Consider the following 12,089-nt stretch of genomic DNA (forward strand, 5'->3'; position numbering starts at 1 on the left):
TGACCCCTGGACTTCTTTTTAAACATGTGGGAAAATTAACCCCTTTTATTTAAGTCATTGCTTGTTGGAGTTTCTGTACTTGCAGCCCAGTGCAATCCTAACACTGAGTAAAAGTTTGAAGCAGTTTTCATTATATTTTGGTTGCCAGGCTGTATCCCTATGACTGGGATACTGCACTGACAGTGGGCCATATGGAACCCCAGTTATATTGAGGTTACCTATGTAGGTACTCAGGCATGTACATGTTAAAACACACATGCACACACATATGTGCATACACATACAAATAACATATAAACAAACACACATGTACAAATCTATACTCATACATGCAAATGCTCTCATATATACATACAAGCACTTGCATTTACATGTCATCTACACGTGCGCACACTTAGAAACATATACACACGTTTCAGGTAATGTCTGGGATCAGGCTGGGAATCTAAGGTTCTATGAGTCTCTAGAAGGACTAATACTACTTCACCTTCACACTCACAGAAGGCCCTTCCGGGCCGGGCATGGTGGCTCACCCCTGTAATCCCAGCACTTTGGGAGCCCAAGGTGGGTGGATCTTGAGGTCAGGAGTTTGAGATCAGCCTGGCCAATGTGGTGAAACCCTGTCTCTAGTAAAAATACAGCCGGGCGCGGTGGCTCATGCCTGTAATCCTAGCACTTTGGGAGGCCGAGGCAGGCAGAATGCCTGAGCTCAAGAGTTCAAGACCAGCCTGGGCAACATGGTGAACCCCCGTCTCTGCTAAAATACAAAAAAAAAAAAAATTAGTCAGGCATGGCGGCGTGCACCTGTAGTCCCAGCTACTCAGGAGGCTGAGGCAGGAGAATTGCCTGAACCTAGGAGGCGGAGGTTGCAGTGAGCTGAGATTGTACCACTGCACTCCATCCAGCCTGGCAACAGAGAAGACTCTGTCCCAAAAAAAAAAAAAATACAAAAATTAGTCTATTAAAAATACAGGCGATGGCTCATGCCTGTAATCCTAGCACTTCAGGAGGCCAAGGTGGGCGGATCACCTGAGGTCAGGAGTTCCAAACCAGCCTGACCAACATGGTGAAACCCCATCTCTAATAAAAATACAAAATTAGCTGGGCATGTTGGCAGGTGCCTGTAATCCCAGCTACTCAGAAGTCTGAGGCAGGAGAATCGCTTGAACCCGGGAGAAGGGGACCGCAGTGAGCCAAGATTACACCACTGCACTCCAGCCTGGGCAACAGAGCGATACTCCGTCTCAAAAACAAAAACAAAGGCTCTTTTTTAGAGCATCGGCAAGTGACCTGTGAATCACCAGTTTTTGCCTCATGGGGGCAGGCAAGAGGTGTGGCATCGAGTGAGACCAAGAGATTTGGATGCTGGACGTTAACCAGCCCTCCCAGCCAATGTTGGGCATTTGCTTGGCATTGAACCTAGGCTGTCACTAGGACCCACAGCCCAAGCTTGTAATGCATATAGCAGTTAAGCATCACCTCCAACAATGCATATCCCACTTGACCAAATATGCTCCATTTAGCCACCACCATCACTCAGGTATCTTGCACCTTCCAAAGCAGAAAGGACTACCAGGATTGAGGCAAGTGCCACCCTTTCTGGTTGTGTGATCTCAAGTAGGTTACTTCCCCTCTCTGTCCTCATCTATAAAATGGAGGTGAGCCGGGAACGATGGCTCATGCCTGTAATCCCAGCACTTTGGGAGGCCGAGGCAGGCAGATCACCTGAGGTCAGCAGTGCGAAACCAGCGTGGCCAACATGGTGGAACCCCATCTCTACAAAAAATACAAAAGTTAGGCAGGGCACAGTTGCTTACACCTATAATCCCAGCACTTTGGGAGGCTGAGGCGGGGGAATCACCTGAGGTCAGGAGTTCGTGACCAGCCTGACCAACATGGAGAATCCCGTCTCTACTAAAAATACAAATAATTAGCCAGGCATGGTGGCAGGCGCCCGTAATCCCAGCTACTTGGGAGGCTGAGGGAGGAGAATTGCTTGAACCTGGAAGGCAGAGGTTTCAGTGAGCCAAGATCATGCCATTGCACTCCAACCTGGGCAACAGAGTGAGACTCTGTCAAAAAAAAAAAAAAAAAAAAAAAAGTTAGCCAGGTGTGGTGGTGGGCGCCTGTAGTCCCAGCTACTTAGGAGGCTAAGGCAGGAGAATCACTTGAACCCAGGAGGCAGAAATTGCAGTGAGCCAAGATCTTTGCACCACTGCACTCCAGCCTGGGCGACAGAGCAAAACTCTGGCTCAAAAATAATAATAAAATAAAATAAAATGGAGGTGAAATAATAGGACTTTGCCCATTGGGCCTCTGTGAGAGCTAAATAATATTGCACAGGGAAAGCACTCAACACAGTGCTGGGTACACAGTAAACACTCAGTAAATGTTAGGTGGTTTCAGTATTATCAATGAACTGTTAAAGGCTGCTCAGATGTGAAGGATGTAACCTTCCATGGCCCTGATAAAAAGGTTACCAGACATCTCAGAGCTCCAGCAGAGTGGGAAGAGACGAGAGGATCAGTGAGTCCAACAACCTCATCTCACAATGGAGAATCTAAAGGTCAGTGAGGAAAAGGGCCTAGTTCAAAGAGGACCAGGACTGGAACGCAGGGTTCTTCCTCAGACCAAGTTCATCCCCAGATGTGAGCTGCCCAGAGGAAGAAGTGAGAAGCAAAGCACACCATCATCTCCATGGCTTCACTCAGGCTTCCAGTCAATCTATTTTTTAAGCACCTACTATGTCCTGGCATTGTGCTGGTCATTCGTACAACACAGAGGTGTCTTTCCATTGGTCCCACCACCTGACGCCAGGGCATCTGTCCATCTGAGTTGCTCCCAACCCCAGCCTTACCTGGGCTCCGGGTCATTGGGGGTGCACCTCTTCGAGACATATGCCATCTTCAAGGACATGTGTTTGGCCTCGCTGAAGTTCCGGGGTGTGGGGCCAGGGGAGGAAGGCTGCCGCTGAAGGGGTGAGGCAGGAGGTGAGTCCCAGCCGACCGAGGTCCCACCAGTAGAGTTCTTGAAATACGGTGAGACGTCCTTCATATACTTGACTGATTGGGAGAGACATCAGCAGTCACCACTGTGACATGGGCTCCCAGCACATATCACAATTGTCACTAATTTATTAAGAGTTTAATTTACGTGTCACTATTAGACCCTTAGTAAGCAAGAGTCCAGTAGTGATATTAACAAATTCTTCTAAGTTAAAGTCTCTGACAGGGCAGTGGAGCAGAAAATACTGTATCCCTTCTCTCTATCCCTATATAGAGATAGGGCCCGCCTATATCCCTTCTCTCATTTTCCCCATGGTTAATAGACATACAGCCACCTGGAAGAAAGACTCTATTTCCCAGCCTCCTTTGCAGTGAGGTGTGGCCATGTGACTTTTTTTTTTTTTTTTTTGAGACAGTTTCTCTCTGTCACCCAGACTAGAGTGCCATGGTGTGATCACAGCTCGCTACAGCCTCAATCTCCCAGATCAATCAATCCTCCCACCTCAGCTCCCCAAGTAGCTGGGTCTACAGGTACGCACTACCACACCCAGCTATTAATTTTTTGTAGAGATGGGGTCACGCCATGTTGCTGGTCTTGAACTCCTAGACAGTGTATACAAGAAGGTGGTTACAAGACTTTCCCAGGCTGGGCATGTTGGCTCATGCCTGTAATCCTAGCACTTTGGGAGGCCAAGGCGGGCAGATCATTTGAGGTCAAAAGTTTGAAACCAGCCTGACCAACATGGTGAAACCCCGTCTCTACTGAAAATACAAAAGCTAGCCGGGCGTGGTGGCTCGCACCTGTAATCCCAGCTACTGGGGAGGCTGAGGCAGGAGAATCACTTGAACCCGGGAGGAGGAGGTTGCAGTGAGCCAAGATTGTGCCACTGTACTCCAGCCTGGGTGACATAACAAGACTCTGTCTCAAAAAAAAAAAAAAAAAAAAAAAAAAAAAAGACTCCCAGGCTGGGCATGGTGGCTCATGCCTGTAATTCCAGCACTTTGGGAGGCCAAGGCAGTGTGGATCACTTGATGTCAGGAGTTCAAGACCACCCTGGCCAACAAGGTGAAACCCTGTCTCTACTAATAATACAAAGGTTAGCTGGGCAGGGTGGTGCATGCCTGTAATCCCAGCTACTCGAGAGGCTGAGGCATGAGAATCACTTGAACATGGGAAGCAAAGGTTGCAATGAGCCAAGATTGCGCACTCCAGCCTGGACGATGAAGTGCGACTGCCTCAAAAAAAAAAAAATGATGACTTTCCCAAGACCTTGTCTCTCTTCTCCCAACAAGGATATACCCTCTGTGGGTGCCTGATGCCTGCTAGCCCGTGGGCAGCCTCTCTTCCTCTGCTCTCAACCACACCTGCTCCCAGGGCCATCTGGCTTGCTAGCTATCTGACGTCTGCAGTCAAAGCCCAGCCAACGTGCCCTGTGAGTGGACAGCCCAGGAAGGAGTTAGGAAGTAATTCTTGGCCCACCTCCCTGGAAGAACCAGATAAGAAGCTATTTCTGTCGCAGGAGATGCCTCTGAGGCTCAGATAGGATTCAAAGCAAATGGAGGCAAATAAGAGGGAGTTACAAACCCTATTGGGGTTGGGATAGAAGCAATGTTGAAAGAAACCAGGGTCAGGTTTTTTTGGGAGAAGCAAGCCTGGGTCTGACTTTTGGGGACTAGGACTCAAATGACTTATCATCACTGTAGCAACGACTTACCCCAGGACTGACTATTGGATTATGTCTCAAAGGGCAGCAGAAGTGGGACATATCACAGCCTACTTGACAGCCAAAAACCATCTCCCCTCTTTTTCCTTTGCTAAGAGAACCCTGAGCCCTAGAGGCTCAGCTTCTCCCCAGCTTAGAGGGAGAATCTTGATTGGTCAAATCAAATCATGATCATTCCATCCTTTTTGCTTGTGATTGGTTTAGAAAGGGGCAAATGATACAGTTCTGGCCAATGAGATGTGAGGAAAAAAACACTGCCTTCCTTTTCTCCTCCTTTAGCCTTTCAAAGTTGCTGGGAGGGAGCTTGTTCCTAGTGCAACGACAGCCACTTTTTTTTTCTTTCTTTTTTTTGTGACAGAGTCTCACTCTGTCGCCCAGGCTGGAGTGCAATGGTGCAGTATTGGCTCACTGCAACCTCTGCCTCCCGGGTTCAAGCGAATCTCCTGCCTCAGCCTCCCAAGTAGCTGGGATTACAGGTGCGTACCACCACACCCAGCTAATTTTTGTATTTTTAGTAGAGATGGGGTTTCGCCATGTTGGCCAGGCTGATCTTGAATTCCTGACCTCAGGTGCTCCGCCGGCCTCAGCCTCCAAAAGTGCTGGGATTACAGGCATGAACCACTGTGCCCAGCCTACTTTTTGACCACAAAGTTTGGGATCCACACATTGAGGATGGTGAAGCAGAAAGATGGAGAGACCTGAGTTTTCGATGATACCATGAGCCCCTAAATTAATCTTCCCTGGAGCCATGCTGTCTCAAGATGTTCGGGAGGATAACACATTTTCTTTGATGTTTAAACCTCATTGAATTGGATTCCTGTTACTTGCAGTCAAAAGCATCCTGACAAATACAGCCCCCAATGGTGCAACTGCTACATCTCCTTGCTACAAGTGGCCACGTCCTGCTCAAAGCCCTGCTCTGCCTCCCCTGCACCCTTTGCCTAACTTCAATGCCCTCTAGGACATGGGCCCTGCCCACAGGTCCTGTCTTCCTCCCTGGCTTCACTTCTTGCCATATCCCTAATCTCACCCTCTGGTCCAATCACACTAACTACTCAGAGGCTGTATGAGCTTCCAAACTTCCACACTATTGAAAATGCAGTTCCCGGCCTTGTGCGGTGGCTCATGTCTGTAATCCCAGCACTTTGGTAGGCCACAGTGGGTGGATCGCTTGAGCTCAGGAGTTTGAGACGAGCCTGGCCAACATGGTGAAACCCTGTCTTTACTAAAAATACAGAAAAAAATTAGCTGGGCGTGGTCGTGGGCACCTGTAATCCCAGCTACTTGGGAGGCTGAGGCAGGAGAATTGCTTGAACCCGGGAGGCGGAGGTTCCAGTGAGCCAAGATTGCGCCACTGCACTCCAGCCTGAGGGACAGAGCAAGACCCCGTCTCAAAAAAAAAAAAGAAAAAGAAAGTAAAATTTAAAAAAAAATTAGCCAGGTGTGGTGACACATGCCTGTGATTCCAGCTAATCAAGAGGCTGAGGCAGGAGGATCGCTTGAACCCAGCAAGCAGAGGCTGCAGCAAGCCATGATTACGCCATTGCACTCCAGTCTGGTAACAGAGTGATACCCTGTCTCAAAAAAAAAAAAAAGAGAAAGAAAGAAAATGCAATTCCCTCTGGAGTCAGATGCTCTTGGATTTGAATTCCAGCTCCAGCACTGTCTAACTGTGTAACCATGGACAAGGTCATTTACCTCTCTGGGCCTCAATCTGCTAGTCAGTAAAAGATGAATAGGGCTGGGCACAGTGGCTCACGCCTGTAATCCCAGCACTTTGGGAGGCTGAGGCGGGAGGATCACCTGAGGCTGGGAGTTCAAGACCACCTGGCCAACATGGCGAAACCCTGTCTCTACTAAAAATACAAAAATTAGCCAGGCCATGGTAGTGCACACCTGTAATCCCAGCTACTCAGGAGGCTGAGGCAGGAGAATTGCTTGAACACAGGAGGCAAAGGCTGCAGTGAGCCAAGATTGTGCCATTGCACTCCAGCCTGGGCAACAAGAGTGAAACTCCGTCTCAAAAAAATAATAATAAAAATAAAAAATAATAAAATAATAAAAATAAAAGATTAATAACTACAGCCAGACATGGTGGCTCACGCCTGTAATCCCAGCACTTTGGGAGCCCGAGGCAGGCAGACTGCTTGAGCCCAGGAGTTCAAGACCAGGTTGGGCAACATAGCAAAACCTTGTCTCTACCAAAAACACAAAACATTAGCCAGGCATGGTAGTGTGCGCCTGTAGTCCCAGCTACTCGGGAGGCTGAGGTGGGAGGATTGCTTGAGCCCAGGAGGCAGAGGTTGCAGTAAGCCAAGATTATGCCACTGCACTCCAGCCTGGGCGACAGAGCAAGACCCTGTCTCCAAAAAAAAAAAAAAAAAAAAAAAAGTCTGCCTCAGAGAGATGTCAGGATTAAATAAAATGTTGTAAGGCATGTGGTGAGTATTAAGGACTCAAGAAGCAGGTGTTTCTCACTTATCAGCCTTTCTTGCCCATACTTCCTAGGTCTCCGATTCTGTGTGTTAGGGTTGTCTCCTCCACAAAACTGGGAACTCCTAAAAGAAATTGCCGGGCACAGTGCCTCACGCCTGTAATCCCAGCACTTGGGAGGCCGAGGCGGGTGGATCACGAGGTCAGGAGATCGAGACCATCTTGGCCAACGTGGTGAAACCTCGTCTCTACTAAAATTACAAAAATTAGCCGGGCATGGTGGCGTGCACCTATAGTCCCAGCTACTCAGGAGGCTGAGGCAGGAGAATCGCTTGAACCCAGGAGGTGGAAGTTGCAGTGAGCTGAGATCGTGCCATTGCACTCCAGCCTGGGCGACAGAGCAAGACTCTGTCTCAAAAAAAAAAAAAGAAAAGAAAAAGAAAGAAACTGGGCTTGCTCTTCAAACCCAGAGTTGGCTGGGCAGTAGCTCACGCCTGTAGTCCCAGCACTTGGGGAGGCTGAGGCAGGCAGATCGCTTGAGCCTAGGAGTTTGAGAGCAGCCTGGGCAACATGGCAAAACCCTGTCTCTACCAAAAATACAAAAAACTAGCTGGGCATGGTGGTGTGCATCTGTAGTCCTAGGTACTTGGGAGGGTGAGATGGGAGGCTAAGGTGGGAGGCTTGCTTGAGCCCAGAAGGTTGAGGCTATAGTCAGCCTGGATAACAGAGCAAGACCCATTTCAAACAAACCAACCAACCCAGAATCAGTGTTCTGTGAATGGAAAAATGAATGCCAGGGCAGGACAGGCTCATTTAGCAGGAGGGAAGAGGTGCCATAGCCCAGGAGACAGGCCCAGCTCAGAGGTCACCTCAGAAGAGGTGATCAGATGCTCAGTCTGGATCCATCACACCCATCACCTCCGCAGTCCCCTACGCCTCACTCCCCTGTGATTGTCTGTGTAGGGTCTGTGTCCCCAACTAGGCTGAGAGCACTTTGAGGGCAGGGACCTGGTCTGACTCTTCTCTGTGTCCCCAGAATCCAGCAGAGATCTCATACGCTACATGCTCAGCAAATGAACATTTGTCAACTTTGAAGCCAGAGAAACTGCCAGATCCCCTGCTCGCCCAGCCATCCCAGATCTGGGTCCCCCTCCTTTCCCACAGGAACATGCTATAAATGGACAGCATACCAGCTGATGCCAGAATCAGGGCTTGCATTTCACAAACCAAGTGGCCTGTCCCAGAGTGGGGGTGGGGTCCTGGGGGCCCCGGAGTGTGGCCATAAATAGCCCAACTCTGAGGCCTCCTCCCCTCTCTGATTTCTGCCTGAGTCACCCGACAAGGCAGGGTGGGGCTGCCAAAGCCTATGGCCTAGAGAGCTGAGGGCACGACCACAGCCCTGTGGCCAGCATTCTCGAGACTCCAAAGATAGGCCCGGCCAGTGCCCCCACCCTCCCCAGCCAAGCCCCTGGCCTGGGAGCCTGATAAGCAGTGACACATGGGCCCTTCCTCCTCAGGGAAGCTGAGGCACCTATAAACAGAGGCCCCAATTTCCAGGGAGCTCCAGCTCTGCCAAGGAGGGAAGCCAGGATCTGGCTCTGGCCCCAAAGAGCCAGGAATAGATTCCACTGGAAACACATGGAAGAGAAACAGGGCAGGATCACTCATCAGGCCCAGTATAAGTGGACTGGGGGTCACATATGCGTTGCTGAGAGAAGGGAACACATCTGTTTGGGCAACAGGATCTCCAGTACTTATCCCAGTGCTTAATAAATGTCTGTGACTGAATGTCCTGGCTGAAGGGAAGCCTGTCCTCTAAGCTCAAGCTGTTCCTTGTCTGTTCAGTGGGTGGTCATTTACTTACCGCTGCTTGAAATTAGATGATAGAGCCATTTGTTTACTAGCCCATGGCCTTTCTCCCCTAACCAGAATGTCAGTTCCCGGAGAGCAGGGGCTGCCCTGTTTTCCAGTTCACTAGGGTATCCTCACCATCAAGAATAGTACCTGACGGCCGGGCGCGGTGGCTCACACCTGTATTCCCAACACTTTGGGAGGCCGAGGCGAGTGGATCACCTGAGGTCGGGAGTTGGAGACCAGCCTGACCAACATGGTGAAACCCTGTCTCTACTAAAAATACAAAATTAGCTGGATGTGGTTGCGCATGCCTGTAATCCCAACTACTTGGGAGGCTGAGGCAGGAGAGTGGCTTGAACGTGGGAGGCAGAGGTTGCAGTGAGCCAAGATTGTACCATTGCACTCCAGCCTGGGCAACAAGAGTGAAACGCCATCTCAAAAAAAAAAAAAGAAAGAAAGAAAAAAAAAGAAAATAGTACTTGACATATACCAAGTAAGCAGTAAAAGAAATCTGGGCCAGGCACAGTGGCTCACACCTGTAATCCCAGGACTTTGGAAGCCTTAGGTGGGAGGATTGCTTGAGCCCAGGAGTTTGAAACCAGCCTGGGTGACATAGGGAGACCCTGTCTTGAAAAAATTAAAAAAAAAAAAATTTTGAGACAGGGACTCACTCTCACCCAGGCTGGAGTGCGGTGGTATGATCACAGCTCACTGCAGTCTTGACCTCCTAGGCTTAAGCGATCCTCCCACCTCAGCCTTCCGAGTAGCTGGGATCAGAGGCTCATGTTATTATGCCTGGCTAATTTTTTTATTTTTTGTAGAGATGGGGTTTTGTCTTGTTGCCCAGGTTAGTCTCAAATTCCTGGGCTCAAGCAACCCACCCATCTCAACCTCCAATGTGCTGGGATTACAGGTTTGAGCCACCGTGCCTGGCCTACAAAAAATTTTTAAAAACTAGGCCGGGCACAGTGGCTCGTGCCTGTAATCCCAGCACTTTGGGGGGCCGACGCGGGCAGATCACAAGGTCAAGAGATTAAGACCATCCTGACTAACACGGTGAAACCCCGTCTCTACTAAAACTACAACAAATTAGCCAGAAGTGGTGGCACACGCCTGTAGTCCCAGCCACTCGGGAGGCTGAGGCAGGAGAATCGCTTGAACCCAGGAAGCAGAGGTTGCAGTGAGCCGAGATCACGCCACTGCACTCCACCCTAGGTGACAGAGCGAGACTCCATCTCAAAAAAAAAAAATTAGCCGGGCATGGTAGAGCACACCTGTAGCCCCAGCTACTCAGGAGGCTGAGATGGGAGGATCACTTGAGCCAGGGAGGTCAAGGCTGCTATGATCATGCAACTACACTCCGGCCTGGGTGACAGAACAAGACCCTGTATCTATAAATAAGTACGTAAGTAAATAAAAGAAAAAAATGTGTTAGATGAATAAACACTGAAAGCCCTGGGGCTTCTCAGTGTGGAGCAAAAACATTGAAAGTGGGTCTGGGGCCGGGCATGGTGGCTCACACCTATAATTCCAGCACTGTGGGAGGCCGAGGCAGGGGGAATCTTTTGAGCCCAGGAGTTCAAGACCAGCTTGGGCAACATAGCGAAACCCCATCTCTACTAAATATACAAAAAATTAGCCAGGTGTGGTAGTGTGCAGCTATAGTCCTACCTACTAGGGAGGCTGAGATGGGAGAATTACTTGAGCCTGGAAGGCAGAGGTTGCAGTGAGCCATGATTGTGCCACAGCACTCCAGCCTGGGCCACACAGTGAGAACCTGTCTAAAACAAAAAGGAAAGAAAGAAAGTGGGCCCTGGAGTGAGGCAGGCTTGTAATAACGTCCTTGCTCTGTGACCTTGAACAAGTGACTTGACCTCTGCGAGCCTCTGTTTCCTTATTTTAAAAATGGAAGGGCCGGGCACACTGGCTCCCGCCTGTAATCCCAGTGCTTCGCGAGGTCGAGGCGGGCAGATCAACTGAGGTCAGAAGTTCGAGACCAGCCTGGCCAACATGGTGAAACCCTATCTCCACTAAAAATACAAAAAAAAATTAGCCAGGCATGGTGGTACATGCCTATAATCCCAGCTACTTGGGAGGCTGAGACAGGAGAATCGCTTGAATCAGGGAGACAGAGGTTGCAGTGAGCCAAGATCGTACCATGGCACTCCAGCCTGCGTGACAGAGCAAGACTCCGTCTCAATCAATCAATCAATAAAACATTAAAAAAAAATAAAAGTAAAAATAGAAGTAAAATATATCTACTTTAAAGGGTATTAAAAGATTCAGCTGGGCCAGGCGCAGTGACTCACGCCTGTAATCCCAGCAGTTTGGGAGGCTGAGGTGGGCAGATCACCTGAGGGCAGGAGTTCAAGACCAGCCTGGCCAACATGGTGAAACCCTGTCTCTACTAAAAATACAAAAAAATTAGCCAGGTGTGGTGGCACACGCCTGTAATCCCAGCTACTTGGGAGGCTGAGGCAGGAGAATCGCTTGAACTCAGGAGGCAGAGGTTGCAGTGAGCCAGGATCGCCCCACTGCACTCCAGCCAGGGTGACAGAGCGAGACTCCTTCTCCAAAAAAAAAAAAAAAAGATTCAGCTGCAGGTTGGGCACAGTGGCTCATGCCTGTAATCCCAGCACTTTGGGTGGCCGAGGCGGGCGGATCACTTGAGGTCAGGAGTTCGAGACCAGCCTGGCCAACATGATGAAACCTCGTCTCTCCTAAAAATACAAAAATTAGTCAGGCATGGTGGCAGACACCTGTAATCCCAACTACTTGGGAGGCTGAGGCAGGAGAATCACTTGAACCCGGGAGGCAGAGGTTGCAGTGAGCCAAGATCGTGACATTGCACTCCAGCCTGGGTGACAGACATCTCAAACAAACAAACAAAAACAAAAAAAAAGATTTGTCTGGGCTCAGTGGCTCACACCTGTGAGCACTTTGGGAGTTCAAGGCAGGACGATCGCTTGAGCCCAGGAGTTTAAGAGCAGCCTGGCCAACATGGCAAAACTCCGTCTCTACCAAAAATACACAAAATTAGCCAGGTGTGGTGGTGCACACCTATAATCCCAGC

General features: G+C 49.5%; 1 protein-coding gene across 6 annotated transcripts in view, besides 2 other annotated features; it reads right to left on the bottom strand.

Annotated features, from left to right (window-relative positions):
• Positions 1 to 12,089, bottom strand: part of SNTA1 (syntrophin alpha 1) — a 35,807-nt gene that overhangs the window by 6,905 nt on the left and 16,813 nt on the right. For all 6 annotated transcript variants that reach the window (NM_001424413.1, NM_003098.3, XM_011529008.2 and 3 more), the window contains exon 3: positions 2,858 to 3,062. In NM_001424413.1, coding sequence (NP_001411342.1) covers positions 2,858 to 3,062 — 205 coding nt within the window. The remainder of the gene's footprint in view (positions 1 to 2,857; positions 3,063 to 12,089) is intronic.
• Positions 4,204 to 4,704: an enhancer, noted in NCBI's record as "H3K27ac hESC enhancer chr20:32006871-32007371 (GRCh37/hg19 assembly coordinates)". NCBI's record gives its function as "activates a minimal SCP1, AML or CMV promoter by ChIP-STARR-seq in naive H9 embryonic stem cells {active_cell/tissue: H9 hESC(naive)}" and the evidence as "EXISTENCE:reporter gene assay evidence [ECO:0000049][PMID:30033119]".
• Positions 6,957 to 10,518: an enhancer, noted in NCBI's record as "VISTA enhancer hs2173". NCBI's record gives its function as "enhancer in: heart[4/6]" and the evidence as "EXISTENCE:transgenic organism evidence [ECO:0001131][PMID:17130149]".

This window comes from Homo sapiens, chromosome 20, assembly GCF_000001405.40.
Source record: "Homo sapiens chromosome 20, GRCh38.p14 Primary Assembly".
NCBI classification, from domain to species: domain Eukaryota; kingdom Metazoa; phylum Chordata; class Mammalia; order Primates; family Hominidae; genus Homo; species Homo sapiens.